Below are 18363 nucleotides of genomic sequence, written 5' to 3' on the forward strand. Positions count from 1 at the left end.
ACTGTAAAGGGTGTCAGTGGGTTGACATTGACAGATTAATGGGAGGATGTCTCCCCAAGAGCCGTTTGAAAGTGGAGAAGCTGAAGGTTTCACGGACACGATAGGATGAATCAATAGGGAATGAAAGGAGTCATGCAGATATACCCAGGTCATAGAAAAACACAAAATGCAAATCGAGCCAGCCTCCACGGACAGCTGAGTCACCCGAGAGCTAATATTTGCTAGGAGCCGCAGTATGCAAAGCATTGTGCTATGGATTATGCAGGGCTGGATTCTGGGAAACAAAACCCTTCCCTGGCTCATGGGGTCTTGTTTTGTTTTTGAGCTTGACTATAATCTGGAGCTGTGCTGTGCCACAGAACTTTCTGCAGTGACAGAAGTGTCCTAGATCTGCATGGTCCAATATGGCAGCCGGATGGCTGAGTGCAGTGGCTCACACCCGTAATCCCAGCACTTTGGGAGGCCGAGGCGGGTGGATCACCTGAGGTCAGTAGTTTGAAACCAGCCTGGCCAACATGGCAAGACCCTGTCTCTACTAAAAATACAAAAACTAGCTGGGCGTGGTGGCGGGTGCCAGTAATCCCAGCTATGCGGGAGGCTGAGGCAGGAGAATTGCTTGAACCTGGGAGGTGGAGGTGGCAGTGAGCTGAGATCTCACCGTTGCACTCCAGCCTGGGTGACAGAGCGAGACTCGGTCTAAAAAAAAAAACAAACCAAAAAACAAAAAATAATATGGCAGCCACTGACCAGACGTGCTCTTGAGTGTGTAACATGTGGCTAGTGCCACTAGGGATCTACACAGTACATTTAATTTTAATTAATTTAAACTTAAAGTTTAATGGCCACATGTGCCTAGTGGCCACTGTATTGAAAGGCACAGTTTTAGACCTTTGCTGCTCTCATGCATGGCTGGACATTCTGACTTTTTAAGCCATTGCAGGCTACTTGAAAAGACTTTATTTTTTATGTTAATCTCTAAAATTCGTGTGGATTCTTATGAACAAAACAATTACAGTGTTTACGTTGGGTAACAGCCTTCCTCTGGAGGCGCACCTTGCTTGCTGGTACAGTCAAGTGACTTCATTGATGTGAACAGCACACTGGGCCAGGCCTGGGGCACTGCCAGCTGCTTCTCGGTATCAGGTTCACTGCCTACGCCTCCTTCCGATGTAACCTTGAGTCCTGGTGACCTGGAATCTAAATATTTAGCACTCGGTTGCCACCAGTGAAAGGACTAGAATCTTATTTTTATTAGCAGAGCAAATGGTGCACTTAAAAAACTGACAGTGATCTCTACCTTTCTTCCCCATGAAGTAAATGCAGTGAGAACGTGTTCTCAGTCCTTGAGGCTTGTGCATTTGGAACGACGTCCTTTCCAGTGAGGATACAGGATCTTGGAAAGATGAGAAGGGCCCGTGATGTGTTGCTTTCTAGAAGCTTGCGGCTTACCATGTCCTGCGCCAATTAATCATTTTCATCATCTTCTATGGGGAAATCGGGGCTCCTGTCCCCTCTCTGTGAAGGTTCGTGGGGACAAAATTCCTTCCGTGCCTCTGTCAATCACAGCAAGCTCCTCTGGGCCAGCAGCGGTCTCGCCGGTGCCTGGGAAGGAGGGGCGTTGCTTTCTCCGTATATCCAGAAGCCTCTTTGCTTTTTAGTCTACTAAATTACCCACTTTCTAGTGGGTTATGCAGAGCCACTATTTATTTCCCTGTTAAATTCCAATCTGATGAAACAGTTCACAGGGTTGTACGTAACTCTGAAAAGGCTCTAAAATTAAGTTGCCATATTAGGTTGGCTTTTAAAAATGTGGCCTGGGACTGGGCTGAGGGATTCTAGAAGCCTCAGAACCTTCTCCTCCACCAATACCTGTTGGAGCATCACTTGCAAGTATATTTGGACACCAAGGCAGTTTATAATGTACTGTAATGTCAGTGTGCCACTTAGAAGTCTCCTTCGTTTTCACAATGATCCCACGAGATATGCATAATAAGTATCTCCTTGATGGGAAACTGAAGTGCTTGCAAGTGGTTTGCCTGAATTCACATTGTAATGAGAGGCAGAGCTGGCCTTTCATAAATGCTTTCTACTATGCCAAGCCACGACTGTAAATGTATTTAGGAAGTACCACTCTAAAGAACTTCTCAGCGCAGGCTTGATAGGTATTGCTTCATCTTGGACTTAGATGAAATCCAACTGCTGCATAACCAGCAGTTAGAGCCACTGGTTGTGGTGAGGAGGTTATGCCAGGATGAAGCAGCCAGCAGGTTAACTGTGTGTTTGGGGATCTGCCCACCTCAAGGCAGTTGTCTGGAAGGATACCTTGACACTGAAGCCATTATTTGATGGTAAATGCCTCGTTCGTTCCAGGCTCATCAGAATTGTGACAATTGGAGTCTGGGTTAAGGAATGAACAAGTGATGAAAACTGCAATATAAGTGTCAAAATTTGGTAGTGGTAAGAAGCACATAGTGACTGAATGGTGGAAAAATTTCCATGGATTAAGCAATTCACTTTCATAACAGCCACTCAATCAGAGAAGGAACCTGCCTTTACAAATCAGAGGCAAATGCTATTTCGAGTTTTCAGGTGCTGCAATCTCTAGGAGGAAATGACTTGGGATATTTCCACCTAGGGAGGAAGGCTTTGTTTGAGTTTACATCATCTCACTGAGCTATATATCATTCTCCTGCCCCTTTCTGATTGACGGAGAATCTTTTGCAACTCTAGTGCCTGATGCAACATTCAATACACTGAGCTGTGGACATTGGATCTGTCTGACCTTGGTTCTCTTTTGAGACATGCCAGCCTTCTTATTCACAGCTTCCCTTGAGAGACTAGCTCCAGGACCTCCCTGGAGTTGTGGACCCTGTGGGAAGAGGCTGAATAAGTTCTGCATCCCCTCAGGATGGGCAGCCTATACTCTGAAGGTTTGCAAACAACTGTTCTTTTTTTTTTTTTTTTTTTTGAGATGGAGTCTCGCTCTGTCGCCCAGGGTGGAGTACAGTGGCACGATCTCAGCTTACTGCAATCTCCGCCTCCCAGGTTCAAGCAATTCATCTGCCTCAGCCTCCCAAGTAGCTGGGACTACAGGCGCATGCCACCACGCCCAGTTAATTTTCGTATTTTTAGTAGAGATGGGGTTTCACCATATTGGCCAGGCTGGTCTTGAATTCCTGACCTTGTGATCGCCGGCCTTGGACTCCCAAAGTGCTGGGATTACAGGTGTGAGCTACCGCGCCTGGCCAAACGACTGTATTTTAATAAAAATTGGGCTAGGGGTTCAAATCTGGGAGGGGAATCTCCAAACCAATCCATGATTTTGGGGGTTGAAGATTTCTTGGATCTGGCTTGAGTTTCATAAGAGATCTCTGGCTTCATTTATATCAAGCAAAACCCAAAGGATTGAGCCAGGCAGGATGGACGTTATGAGAGCACAAGTTGAATGGCTGTTAAGAATGATGCATTCAGTGACACTTCCTCTCACCCTGCCCTTCCTCTGCTTTTGTGTCCAGGGGCAAATCCTCCAGTATCCCCCAAAGAATATCTCTAATGCAGAGAGCAAAGCAGAGGTGAATTTCACTGTGGAAAATTTTGATTGTGTCACTTTTCTCAGTAGAGAAGATGAGGCCTTGATGACACTTGTGCAATCAGGGCTCAAACACTTGGGAGATCATTATCTGGAGAAAACTGAGATTATGTAAGCAATGTTTCTTATTCTCTGACACACTGAGGGACAGTGTCATAGTGCAAACATAAAATATCCTGTCCTCATATTTTAGAGGAAAAATTGCCAGTTTTTTTTTTTTTTTTTTTTTTTTTTGCATTTTACTATGTTTTTCTTAAAAAAATGTTGTATTGGCTGCTCCTGAATGACTACTGGGTAAATAACAAAATGAAGGCAGAAATAAAGGTGCTCTTTGAAACCAATGAGAACAAAGACACACCGTACCAGAATCTCTGGGACACATTAAAGCAGTGTGTAGAGGGAAATTTATAGCACTAAATGCCCACAAGAGAAAGCAGGAAAGATCTAAAATCGACACCCTAACATCACAATTAAAAGAACTAGAAAAGCAAGAGCAAACAAATTCAAAAGCTAGCAGAAGGCAAGAAATAACTAAGATGAGAGCAGAACTGAAGGAGACAGACATACAAAAAACCCTTCAAAAAATCAATGAATCCTGGAGCTGTTTTTTTGAAAAGATCAACAAAATTGATAGACTGCTAACAAGACTAATAAAGAGGAAGAGAGAAGAATCAAATAGACGCAATAAAAAATGATAAAGGGGATATCACCACCGATCCCACAGAAATACAAACTACCATCAGAGAATACTATAAACACCTCTATGCAAATAAACTAGAAAATCTAGAAGAAATGGATAAACTCCTGGACACATACACCCTCCCAAGATTAAACCAGGAATAAGTTGAATCTCTGAATAGACCAATAACAGGCTCTGAAATTGAGGCAATAATTAATAGCCTACCAACCAAAAAAAGTCCAGGACCAGATGGATTCACAGCCGAATTCTACCAGAGGTACAAAGAGGAGCTGGTACCATTCCTTCTGAATCTATTCCAATCAATAGAAAAAGAGGGAATCCTCCCTAACTCATTTTATGAGGCCAACATCATCCTGATACCAAAGCCTGGCAGAGACACAACAAAAAAAGAGAATTTTAGACCAGTATCCCTGATGAACATCGATGCGAAAATCCTCAATAAAATACTGGCAAAGCGAATCCAGTAGCACATCAAAAAGCTTATCCACCATGATCAAGTCCGCTTCATCCCTGGGATGCAAGGCTGGTTCAACATAGCAAATCAATAAATGTAATCCATCACATAAACAGAACCAATGACAAAAACCACATGATTATCTCAATAGATGCAGAAAAGGCCTTTGACAAAATTCAACAACCCCTCATGCTAAAAACTCTCAGTAAACTAGGTATTGATGGAACATATCTCAAAATAATAAGAGCTATTTATGACAAACCCACAGCCAACATCATACTGAATGGGCAAAAACTGGAAGCATTCCCTTTGAAAACTGGCACAAGACAGGGATGCCCTCTCTCACCACTCTTATTGAACATAGTGTTGGAAGTTCTGGCCAGGGCAATCAGGCAAGAGAAAGAAATAAAGGGTATTCAATTAGGAAAAGAGGAAGTCAAACTGTCCCTGTTTGCAGATGACATGATTGTATATTTAGAAAACCCCATTGTCTCAGCCCAAAATCTCCTTGAGCTGATAAGCAACTTCAGCAAAGTCTCAGGATACAAAATCAATGTGCAAAAATCACAAGCATTCCTATGCACCAATAACAGACAAACAGACAGCCAAATCATGAGTGAACTCTCATTCACAATTGCTACAAAGAGAATAAAATACCTAGGAATCCAACTTACAAGGGATGTGAAGGACCTCTTCAAGGAGAACTACAAACCACTGTTCAACGAAATAAAAGAGGACAAAAACAAATGGAAGAACATTCCATGCTCATGGATAGGAAGAATCAATATCATGAAAATTGGCCATATTGCCCAAGGTAATTTATAGATTCAATGCCATCCCCATCAAGCTACCAGTGATTTTCTTCACAGAATTGGAAAAACTCCTTTAAAGTTCATATGGAACCAAAAAAAGAACCCTCATTGCCAAGACAATCCTAAGCAAAAAGAACAAAGCTGGAGGCATCATGCTACCTGACTTCAAACTATACCACAAGGCTACGGTAACCAAAACAGCATGGTACTGGTACCAAAACAGATATATAGACCAATGGAACAGAAAAGAGGCCTCAGAAATAACACCACACATCTACAACCATCTGATCTTTGACAAACCTGACAAAAATAAGAAATGGGGAAATAATTCCCTATTTAATAAATGGTGCTGGGGAAACTGGCTAGCCATATGTAGAAAGCTGAAACTGAATCCCTTCCTTACACCTTATATAAAAATTAACTCAAGATGGATTAAAGACTAAAATGTTAGACCTAAAACCATAAAAATCCTAGAAGAAAATCTAGGCAATACCATTTAGGACATAGGCATGGGCAAGGACTTCATGTCTAAAACACCAAAAGCAATGGCAACAAAAGCCAAAATAGACAAATGGGATCTAATTAAACTAAAGAACTTCTGCACAGCAAAAGAAACTACCATTAGAGTGAACAGGCAACCTACAGAATGGGAGAAAATTTTTGCAATCTACCCATCTGACAAAGGGCTAATATCCAGAATCTACAAAGAACTTAAACAAATCTACCAGAAAAAAACAAACAACCCCATCAAAAAGTGGGCAAAGGATATGAACAGACACTTTTCAAAAGAAGACATCTATGCAGCCAACAGACACATGAAAAAATGCTCATCATCACTGGTCATCAGAGAAATGCAAATCAAAACCACAATAAGATACCATCTCACACCAGTTAGAATGGCAATCATTAAAATGTCAGGAAACAACAGATGCTAGAGAGGAAGTGGAGAAATAGGAACACTTTTACACTGTTGGTGAGAGTGTAAATTAGTTCAACCATTGTTGAACTGAAGATAGTGTGGCAATTCCTCAAGGATCTAGAACTAGAAATACCATTTGACCCAGTGATCCCGTTACTGGGTATATACCCAAAGGATTATAAATCATGCTACTATAAAGACACATACACACTTATGTTTATTGTGGCACTATTCACAATAGCAAAGACTTGGAACCAACCCAAATGTCCATCAATGATAGACTGGATTAAGAAAATGTGGCACATATATACCATGGAATACTATGCAGCCATAAAAAAGGATGAGTTCATGTCCTTTGCAGGGACATGGATGAAGCTGGAAACCATCATTCTGAGCAAACTATCACAAGGACAGAAAACCAAACACCACATGTTCTCACTCATAGGTGGGAATTGAACAATGAGAACACATGGACACAGGGTGGGGAATATCACACACTGGGGCATGTCATGGGGTGGGGGGCTGGGGGAGGGATAGCATTAGGATAAATACCTAATGTAGATGAGGAGTTAATGGGTGCAGCAAACCAACGTGGCACAAGTATATCTATGTAACAAACCTGCACGTTGTGCACATGTACCCTAGTACTTAAAGTATAATTTTAAAAAATGTTGTGTTGAGTGGGGTGAATAATAAAATTATTGGGAAATAAGAGCCATATAAACTGTATTATAGAAGCTATTTCACATAATTACTATTATGTATACAACCATGACCTTTTTCAGAAGTGGTCTGAGTGTTTTGCAGTGATGGTTTAAAGAATGCATAATTTGTATAGCAGGAAGAAGAAAACTATAGGAATCTGACACCAGCTTGTTCCATAAGCTTAAGTGTGAAAAGGAACATAAAACTTCAAATCCTGCATATCCCAAATGCATGAGTATTGCACATAAAATGGCCGTGACTGTGCACGTGAGCCTCTGCATGAAAGTTCCCTGCAGAGGCACCCAGATGCCCACTTGTTTAGCAATTCCAATCTGGGAAGACTGCTACATGCTACTGTTTGACTTGAATTATATTTTCTTATCTGTCCTTGATCTTATTTCTGAGTGTAAAAATGTGAGAATTTATCTTAATGCTAAAAATATGTTGTTCTAGTCAAACTAGATTTAATTTTTGGATAAATCTCACTCCTTAAGTTTAATCAGCAGCAGGCATTATATTTAGTCTTAGACTAACAGGAAAAGATCCAGGCAACGTGTTCTTGGTGCTGCCAATATTGTGAGATAGTCTCTTTCACCTTCAGACTCTAAGTGAAATATTTTATTGTACGATTTTATATTCCTTAATAGAGAGCATATCTCTCTCCTAGGTATACATCTACATCTATAAACATCAATCACTGATGTTTTTAAGGTGTCCTTTGAACATTAAATAACCACAGTGTGAACATCCTAGATTAAAAAAGAAATCTCAACAAGAACTTGATTGATATCACGTATTCAGGATCTATCTCAGGATCCATGCCATTGATAGGAAAGAAGGAGTCTCTCCTCTAGAGTATATTTCAGGCATAAAATATTAAATAGGAATTCATAAAAGGCATATTACTCATCTTAAATCAATTCACCATGCTAACAGTCAGTGTTGAATACAGCTTGTGGTATTGAGCTCTTACATAGGGTAAGTTAAATTATTAGATAAGATCTTAAACATGAAATATGATCATAGAGCTTAGCAATTCAGAGCACCTTCTCTGGGGTCAGACTGCCTAGAATGGAATCTCTACCACGCACTGGCTGTGAAATCTTAGGTAAAGTTTTGTGACTTCTCTAAGGTCCAGTTTTCTCATCAGTAAAGTGGGGCAAAGATGGATGGATAGATAGATAGATAGATAGATAGATAAGGATAGGTGATAGATATATACATTTATGAGAATTAAATAAGCTAATATGTATAAAGTGCTTCGTATAGTGCCTGGAATGTTGCAAGCACTGAAATAATGGTAACTGCTTAATTATTATTATCATGATACTATTATTAATCATATTATCATATTGTTATTATCACATTGTTATATCATTCTAAGCAAAAATATTTTATCATCATATTGCTATATCTAGGCAAAAATATTTAAACAATTGCCAATTATTACATGATACAGTTATTACCACATTTTACTCTCTTCCTTCATCAGAAATAAAAACTAGGCCCAACCTTGCATCAAGTTAGACCATATGCCACAGAGATGATGCTGTGCTTAAGAAGGCCCAGTGCCTCCAACTCTTATAGAGTTGCAGCATTTCTCATCTGGATGGTGTCCCATAGACCATCTGTGTCAGGACCTTTATCTACAGGAAAGAAGAGTGAGCCCAACCATAGTGAGGTGTGAAGACTGCAGAGCTGGGAGCCACAGGGGTGGTGTCCCCAGGAAGGGAGTTCCCAGCCCTAGGCTCCTTCCTGCCCCTGGCTCTCCCTGCCTTGACCTTTGGGAATCTGCAACATCTCCTTTTTGAGTTGGCTTTTTCCTACATCACACACACACACACACCACCACCACCAGCAGCAGCAGCAGCCCCAGGAGACTGTCTCCCAGAATTCTTCATACCTGTTTGGAAGATGACCTGCTAGAAAACCGGGATCTCTCAAAACTTGTCTCTTGCCCCCAAAACTGATCGCGTTTCTTCTCATTTGGGTCTCTTCTATATTCCTGTCGTCTCAGACAAGCCTGAAGAACAACAACAATAAAATGTTTGTCTTAGGACCATGGCAAGCTTGGGTAACTTTATGCTTAACTCCAATGGTGAGGAGCATGAAATAAATGATATGCATCTCCAGGTGTTCATCAAATACCTCTCACCAAGTATAAAGACCAGGTATCACTCTTCCCTTTGCTTAAAACGCAGGTCAGGCCGGGCGCGGTGGCTCACGCCTGTAATCCCAGCACTTTGGGAGGCCGAGGCGGGTGGATCATGAGGTCAGGAGATCAAGACCATCCTGGCTAACAAGGTGAAACCCCGTCTCTACTAAAAATACAAAAAATTAGCCGGGCGCGGTGGCGGGCGCCTGTAGTCCCAGCTACTCGGGAGGCTGAGGCAGGAGAATGGCGTGAACCCGGGAAGCGGAGCTTGCAGTGAGCCGAGATTGCGCCACTGCAGTCCGCAGTCCGGCCTGGGCGACAGAGCGAGACTCCGTCTCAAAAAAAAAAAAAAAAAAAAAAAAACGCAGGTCAGACGTAATAGCCATTACTTTAATAAATTCAAACAATAAACATACTGAGAGGCATTTTGTCAAGAATGTACCCAACTGTTGCCTTCTCAAGGAGGGCAGCACCTGTTACACCTTGTGAATTTCTCTTTCTGGTCATTCTCTTCATGGCCCCTCCCTCTTCCTACCTTCACTATACTGTGACCCTGGAGATGACACCCTAGTTGCGGGATGAGAATTGTCAACATCAGAGCATGTGTGTTTCCTGCACTTGGAATCTCCTCTGTTAGAAGCTCTCTTGGCAAAACCGACTGATCTACTAAAAAGCCTGCTGCTGTGGCCTTGCCTCTCTTTAGTTTCCTCTGCCCTCTCTTCTCCAGGCCGAATTAATTGTCAGAGTTGCAATGTATATTAATTTAAGCTTGAATTATACATATTTTTTTCCTATTGTAGGTAGTTGTTTGTGGTTTTGAGCCTGTTTCTCCTGCTGATCATTGAGAACCCTGAGAGTAAGGACAACTTCTTATCTTTGAATCCCCCAGCATCCAGCATTTAATTTTAGCTGAATTGCAGCTGGCCAGGTGCCCAGAGGCTCATGCCTGTAATCCCAGCACTTTGGGAGGCTGAGGCAGGTTGATCACTTGATGCCAAGAGTTCGAGACCAACCTGGCCAACATAGTGAAACCCTGTTTCTACTAAAAATATAAAAATTAGTTGTGGTGGCACATGCCTGTAATCCCAGCTACTCAGGAGGCTGAGGCATGAGAATTGCTTGAACCTGGGAGGCAGAGGTTGCAGTGAGCCAAGATAGTGCCACTGCATTCCAGCCTGGGTGACAGAGCAAGAGTCTGTCTCAAAAAATTAATAATAATAATTTTAGTTGAATTGCATTTTTGCTTTGGAGGAAAATATCAATCCCTAAGTGCAAAATAAGAAAAATAAAATTACCAATGAAAATAATTCCCCATGTTTCTTAACAAAATTAAAATAAAATCTGGTACCAAAATATTTCTCCTGTAGTACTAGGACTGAACAAACCTGAGGATATCATGTACTATGGAAATTTCAACTGATTTTAAGTACCTCAAAATAGTAAAAGTTTTTTTTTTCCCCCCAAGATGGAGTCTCGCTCTGTCACCCAGGCTGCAGTGCAGTGGCACGATCTTGGCTCACTGCAACCTCCACCGCCCTGGTTCAAGCGATTCTCCTGCCTTAGCCTCCCAAGTAGCTGGGGTTACAGGAGTGTGCCACCACGCCCAGCCAATTTTTGTATTTTTAGTAGAGACAGGGTTTTGCCATGTTGGCCAGGCTGGTCTTGAACTCCTGACCTCAGGTGATCGGCCTGCCTCAGCCTCCCAAAGTGCTGAGATTACAGGCATGAGCCGCCACACCCAGCCCAGTAAAACTTTTTTGGAATGTTTCTATACTTGCAGATCCAGTAGCCCAATTCAACTTTGCCTTGCCAGGGCCAAATTATCCACTGTCATAGAAAATGAATTTGAAGTAAAGACCAACAATATTGTTTGTAAACTAGGCCTGACAACTGCCCTTCCTGGCTGGGTTGAGAAAGGAAAGATTCCTTCAGCACGTTTCACGCCCTCTGTTAGAAAAAGCATCTCCTTCCGTGATGCAGTAGGACTTACCAGAATTTCACGCCATGAGTAAGCCTGACATTATGCTGTAAGGTTAAGAATAGAAATGACCCGATACTAACAAAACATTTACTCCTTGGAATTGGGACAGTTATTCACATCGTGCTTTATGTCTGAATTGCAGGTGACACTCTAGCCTCCGGGCTCATCACAGCAGCCAAGTGGTCACCTGCAGGAAGTGGAATCCTAGATTCTGGGGAGAGAGATGCAGCTTCACTCCAACTTGCTTGGGAAGGGACAACATCTGTCCCACAGTTAATCTTCTTTTCAAAAACTATGCCACATAGATAGTAAGTCATCATAATAAACACTGGACTCTGTTTGTTTTAATAATTTAAGCAAGAAAAACCAAAGAACACTAGGCAGTAACCATAATAAGTTAAACAAAACAAACAAAAAACACCCAATCATAGAGAAACCCAGGTAATCCTAAAGGGAGTCGGCTGGAAAGTGTAACGAAGTTCAGCTAAACGTGTGCCTTTGTTGTTCCAATCCTTTTACAAGGACTTCAAATGGGAGCTTGTGTTTGGAAAGAGCACTGGCGTGGAGTGTTGTTTCCGAAAGGGGCAGATGTCTGTGCCGTCCTAACCTACTGGTATTAAAGGCAAAAGAAGAAAATGCTGATGGGCTGAAAGTGGAGGAGGCAGTGTTAGCAAATGCACCAGGACCAAGGCAGATTTTGTGGGATGAACAGAATTCTTGTGGGCTGAGTGTTTTTTGAAAATTCTCTCCAAGAATGCATACGACTTAAATATTTCTTTACCAAAAGGGGAGGAAGAATAGATTGGTTTGCAAAGTTGAAAAAAATTTTTTCCCTCTAGTTCCTTGTTCCTCTTTTTACAGAGGAGCAGAACAAACCAGTGGCAAGGCAGGTACTTAAACTTTTATCTTGACAGAGCCAAGCAATCTTTCTACGTAAATCAAACATGAATCCTCTCAAAGTTATAGCTTTGCTGAGAAGGAACACAGGGGCAGAGCAAATATCCAGACTCACAGTCGTAGAAGCAGCAAGAACCTTTGCCTTATTCCCTGCAAGGGCTGGTTTTCTTTGTATTTGTAATTGTAAATGATTTTCTGTCAGCTGTTGATGTTGTTTTTGTGCGGGGCGGGTGGGGGGAGCCTAAGGTGACTGGGCAGGGGAGGACAGAATCCATGGGTCAGGAGAGGAATGTATTTGTAATTCATAACCAATAGCGGCTTCCCTTACCCTAGACTTTAAGAACATTCTCCCCTTTCAATTGCACGTGTCAGGATTCGGATGGCTATAAATAAGTCTCTGATCATGTGGCAAAACTGGCCGAGGGCAGTCTTGAAATTGAAGGCTTCAGGTAACTTTTTATTTCTTCCTTCTGGGAAGATCAGGGCTTCTTCCTTCCCTCCTCCATTGGTGTTGACCCCCCACCCCCCTAGTGCGTCCCCCTGACTACAGCATACGTAGTCGGGCTGCCTTTTGTACAGAAGGTACCACTGTGGGGGCAAAATGCAGAATGTGCATCAATGTCTGTGGGGATGACGTGGGTTTTGTGACTCATTGTAACTCAATCCTGGTAAACACGACAATCCCCAGCTCTGCCACTTTCTAACATAGTGACCTTGGGCGAGCTGACTAATGCCATTGATTCTTGCTTTCCTCATCTGTAAGAGGAAGTTGCAGATTGTTGATATGTTAACATCAACAAGGCATACAGTTGGTGATATGTTAATAATGGCTGGCCCTTGGGGAGTGTTCAATCAAGGGTGCCTACTAACACCATCACCATCACCACCACCACCATGACTACCATTTCCATCACCATCTCCATCACCACCACCACCTGCACCACCACCACCACCTCCATCACCACCACAACCATCACCACCCACCACCACCACCTCCATCAACCACCAACGCCTCCATCACCACCACCACAACCATCACCAACACAACCATCAACCACCACCACCACCACCTCCATCACCACCATCACCTCCATCACTACAACCATCACCACCACCACCACCATCACCACCACCACCTCCATCACCACCACCACCTCCATCACTACCACCACCACCTCCATCACCACCACCACCTCCATCACCACCACCACCACCTCCACTGCCACCACCACCTCCACCACCACCACAACCATCACCACCCATCACCATCCCCTCCATCAACCACCACCACCTCCATCACCACCACCACAACCATTACCACCACCACCATCATCTCCCTCACCACTGCTGCCTCCATCAACCACCACCACCTCCATCACTACCACCACCTCCATCACCACCACCACAACCATCACCACCACCTCCATCAACTACCACCAACGCCTCCATCACTACCAACACCTCCATCACCACCACCACCTCCATTACCACCACCACCATCACCTCCATCACTATCACCACAACCATCACCACCATCACCACCACCATCACCACCACCACCTCCATCACTACCACCACCACCTCCATCACCACCACCACCACCACCACCTCCACTGCCACCACCACCTCCACCACCACCACAACTATCACCACCCACCACCACCACAACCATCACCACCCACCACCACCACCTCCATCACCACCACCACCTCCACCACCACCACAAACACCATCAACCACCACCATCACACCTCCATCAACCACCACCACCTCCATTACCACCACGACCTCCATCACCACCACCATCACCTCCATCACTACCACCACAACCATCACCACCATCACCACCACCATCACCACCACCATCACCACCACCTCCATCACCACCACCACCTCCATCACCACCACCACCACCTCCATCACCACCACCACCACCTCCACTGCCACCACCACCTCCACCACCACCACAACCATCACCACCCACCACCACCTCTATCACCACCACCACCTCCACCACCACAACCCCATCAACCACCACCATCACACCTCCATCAACCACCACCACCTCCATCACCACCACCACAACCATTACCACCACCACCATCATCTCCATCACCACCACCGCCTCCATCAACCACCACCACCTCCATCACCACCACCACCTCCATCAGCACCACAACCATTACCACCACCTCCATCGACCACCACCAACACCTCCATCACCACCAACACCTCCATCACCACCACTACCACGTCCATCAACCACCACCACCACCACATCCATCAACCACCACCTCCATCATCACCACCACCACCACCTCTATCAACCACAACCACCACTACATCCATCAACCACCACCACCACTTCCATCACCACCACCACCACCTCCATCATGACCACCATCACCACCATCACTACCATTTCCATCACATCTCCATAACCACCATCACCACCTCCATCACCACCACCACCACAACCATCGCCACCACCCCCATCAACCACCACCACCACCTCCATCACCACCACCAAAACAGTCACCACCACCACCTCCATCACCACCACCACCACAAACACCATCACAACCATCACCACCACCACCACTACCACCTCCACCACCACCACATCACCACCAAACCCCACCACCCATCTCACCTCCCCACCATTACCACTGCTGCCTCCACCACCACTGCCACTCCCATCACCACCAGCAGCTGTCACAGCCTTTTAACTGCTGTTCTCAATCCCATTTCCTGGTTTACTTCTATATTTCTAAAGTCAGCCTTTGCCAAAGCATATGACTCTGATGTTGGTTGCAGAAGAAGAGAGAATCTTTCTGTCTAGTCCTGAGGTTCATCCTTGTTTTTCTGCCCTGTAAGTAGAGGTCTGTTTCCTATACCCCAGCCAGCCAACTGAGCAGCTCCTGCTCTCAGTCATTCAGGGTCACAATGAAGCCGCTTCTCTTCGACATTACAGCTCTCTGAGTCCATAGTTGTGCTCAAAGTTCCTTTTGTTTCTTTCATTATCAATCTGATCCCTCCAGTCATCATGTGACTTCAGAAGCCATGTGCCCCAGGAACACTTCCCAGCCTCATAATTCTGGTATAAAGCCATCAGAACCACGACCCGACTTTACATCTCCAGCCAGAATGGCATCTGTTCCTCTATCTCAGGATGCACTTTGAGAAGTGGGAGTTGCCACTTCCTTCAGTTGGTTTCTTTTTGTTGTTGTTCTTGCGATCTGACTTGCATACCCCAGAGTCTGGCATTTTAATTGTCCTCGGTGACATTATTAAAGTTCATTAATTTTAAGAGGTCAAGAAATCAAAGGCATAAAAACAGTTTGAGATAGTATTCCCCTCCAGCTAGTTTTTTTTCCTGTTTTGGCTGTGAAGAGTAGAGCAACACATACCTCAAAGGTGAGCCAGGAGGAGAATCCCTCACCTCCGTCCCTATGGGAAGAAAAGTTGATTTATCCCCATTCCAGCTCCCTGAGTGGACAACTCCAAACCCTTGCCACCCGCTATAAAGTCGCCTATCGTGTCCTTGAACACATGTATATTGAGATATTTAGTTGATTTGCACTTTAAAGAATCAAGATGAATAAGTGACATGAAATGAAACCAGTTTGAACACATTTAATAGAGTATAGAAAATCACTCTGAAATGCCAAGTGTAATCTTTGCCTTCAGCTTTCCAGTGGACATTAATGGCTAAATTCTGCCTCCAGTTACATAAATCATTTGATCAAAAAAAAAAAAAAAAAAAAAAAAAAAAGAAGCTAGGCAGCATGAAAATCCTTGAAGCAATAAAGCCAAATTCTGAGATGGCATATAATTATATACTAGTTACCAGATTCTGAAATAGCATGCAATATGCCAAATAGATGTTTATTTCCTCTTGTTTTCTCAAAAGGGTCCCACCCAACCACTGAAAGGAGTAGTATCAAAATAACTCAGGGCGAGGTTAGCCCTCCTCTCTTGCTGCTAGCACAGAGACCTGCAAAGACACTGAGAATTTGCTGCATACCAACACTTAGCGTATTTTAGGCTGTAGCAGGAATGGTTTACACAAGAGGTTTCTAAAGCCTTCAACTGGAGCCAGTTCATTAAAGGTGAGTGGAGTACAGGAAGGGACACACACCAAATGCAGATGATTTGGGATTCGTGTCTAGTTATTAGGTCTTAGCCTGTTTGTATGCCCTGAAATGGGGAATCCCTGGTCACACTGGACCTGGAGTGAAAGCTGGGATTTCCATAGGAAGTCACTGGCCAAACTCATTGATGATCCAGAGTGCCAATATCCACCCACCACAAAGTCACCATAGCCAATTATCTAAATACACATGGGCTGTCTATGAGCTGAGTTACTGAGGGGTCACTAACGTCATGCAATTGATCCTTTTTTTTTTTTTTGAGACAGAGTCTTACTCTGTCGCTGAGGCTGGAGTGCAGTGGCGTCATCTCGGCTCACCGCAACCTCCGCCTCCTGAGTTCAAGCTATTCTCCTGCCTCAGTCTCCCGAGTAGCTGGATTACAGGTGTGCACCACCACACCCGTCTAGTTTTTGTATTTTTAGTAGAGACATTTAGCCAGGCTGATCTCAAACTCCTGGCCTCAAATGATCCACCCGCCTCTGCCTCCCCAAGTGCTGGGATTACAGGCATGAGCCACTGCGCCCGGCCTACATCATGCAATTGATTCTTAAACCACTACTTTAAATTCTTTCTGGAACCAGGCAAGGGATAGATTAATAATATAACAAAAAAAATTTGCTGCTCCCTGCAAAGCAGTTACTGTGGGTTGCCATTTACTTACTTCAATGATATTTAGAACATCTTAAAGACAACCAGATTTATTTTTTGCAGACCTTGTGGTAAGTGGTTTTGAAAATGCTCAATGAGAGTGGATTTGACTTTTAGGAATAGTCACAAGTCAGCTGGCTCTAAGTCTGACAAGCTTAGTTGATAGCCAAGTTAGGCAACACAGGCTTTCATGAATGTCAAGGCAATTGGTTCAACATTGAAGAGGGAGACTCAGCCCCTGCCCTTAAGAAGTCGTGGTCCAGGTTGAGAGGATGTCACACAAAAGACAATGTGCAGCCGGGTGCGGTGGCTCACGCCTGTAATCCCAGCACTTTGAGAGGCCAAGGTGGGTGGATCACTTGAGCCCAGGAGTTCGATACCAGCCTGGCCAACATGGTGAGACCCCCGTGTCTCTATAAAAATACAAAAAATGTAGCTGGGTGTGGTAGCACATGCTTGTGGTTCCAGCCACTCAGGAGGCTGAGGTGGGAGGATAACTTGAGGCTGAGAGGTTGAGGCTGCAGTCAGTTGTGACTGCACCACTGCACCCCGACCTGGGCAACCACTGCACCCCCACCTGGACAACAGAGCAAGACCATGTCTCAAAAAAAAGAGGGAGAAAAAAAGACAATTTGCAATGCAGTTTCATAAGCTCTGTGCAGGAAGCATGAAAAGAGTGCTGCAGTACTAGAGTGGTGGAAATATTCTAAAGTTATGATAGTTATGGCTGCAAACTTGGTAAATTTACTAAAAGTCTTTAAACTGTACACTTAAAACAGGTTGAATTTTATGATATATAATTTTTTTTTTGAGACCGAGTTTCACTCTTGTTGCCCAGGCTGGAGTAGAGTGGCACTATCTTGGCTCACTGCAACCTCCGCCTCCCGGGTTCAAGCGATTCTCCTGCCTCAGCCTCCTGAGTAGCTGGGATTACAGGTGCCTGACACCACGCCCAGCTAATTTTTTGTATTTTTAGTAGAGACGGGGTTTCACGATGTTGGCCAGGCTGGTTTTGAACTCCTGACCTTGTGATCTGCCTGCCTTGGCCTCCCAAAGTGCTGGGATTACAGGCGTGAGCCACCACACCTGACCAGTAAAGTTGTTTTTAAAAACAGCTACTATGTGTATGAGCACAGAGATTCCCTTTAGTTCTAAATTAAAACTATGATCCTCACCACCTTTGCCCAGGGGAGCAAGGTGAAGAAGGGGGAAGAAGACGTTGGCAAAGTGGTGAAGTGTAGGTTGGTTTTGCTTAGGTTTTGAGTCTTGGGCCTGCCTTTAAGTGAGGGAAAGCACAGAGGAGTATCCTATATTCCAATGGTATCGCCACATTTACATTTTAGATAGGT

At 44.1% G+C, this 18363-nt stretch overlaps 1 protein-coding gene across 16 annotated transcripts in view; it reads right to left on the reverse strand.

Moving 5' to 3' along the window:
- MARCHF10 (membrane associated ring-CH-type finger 10) overlaps window positions 1–18363 on the reverse strand; it is a 107001-nt gene that overhangs the window by 78084 nt on the left and 10554 nt on the right. For 15 of the 16 annotated variants that reach the window (XR_934406.4, XM_005257102.4, XM_005257100.4 and 12 more), the window contains one exon: window positions 9083–9202. Coding sequence is in view for 14 of the 16 variants with exons in the window: in XM_005257102.4 (XP_005257159.2) it covers window positions 9083–9202 (120 nt within the window). In the remaining 2 variants the exon portion in view is untranslated. Of the gene's footprint in view, window positions 1–9082; window positions 9203–15622; window positions 15648–18363 lie in introns of those variants that run through there. The other variant, XM_005257106.4, reaches the window with a different exon arrangement.

The sequence above is a fragment of the Homo sapiens genome, chromosome 17 (assembly GCF_000001405.40).
Source record: "Homo sapiens chromosome 17, GRCh38.p14 Primary Assembly".
Classification (NCBI taxonomy): domain Eukaryota; kingdom Metazoa; phylum Chordata; class Mammalia; order Primates; family Hominidae; genus Homo; species Homo sapiens.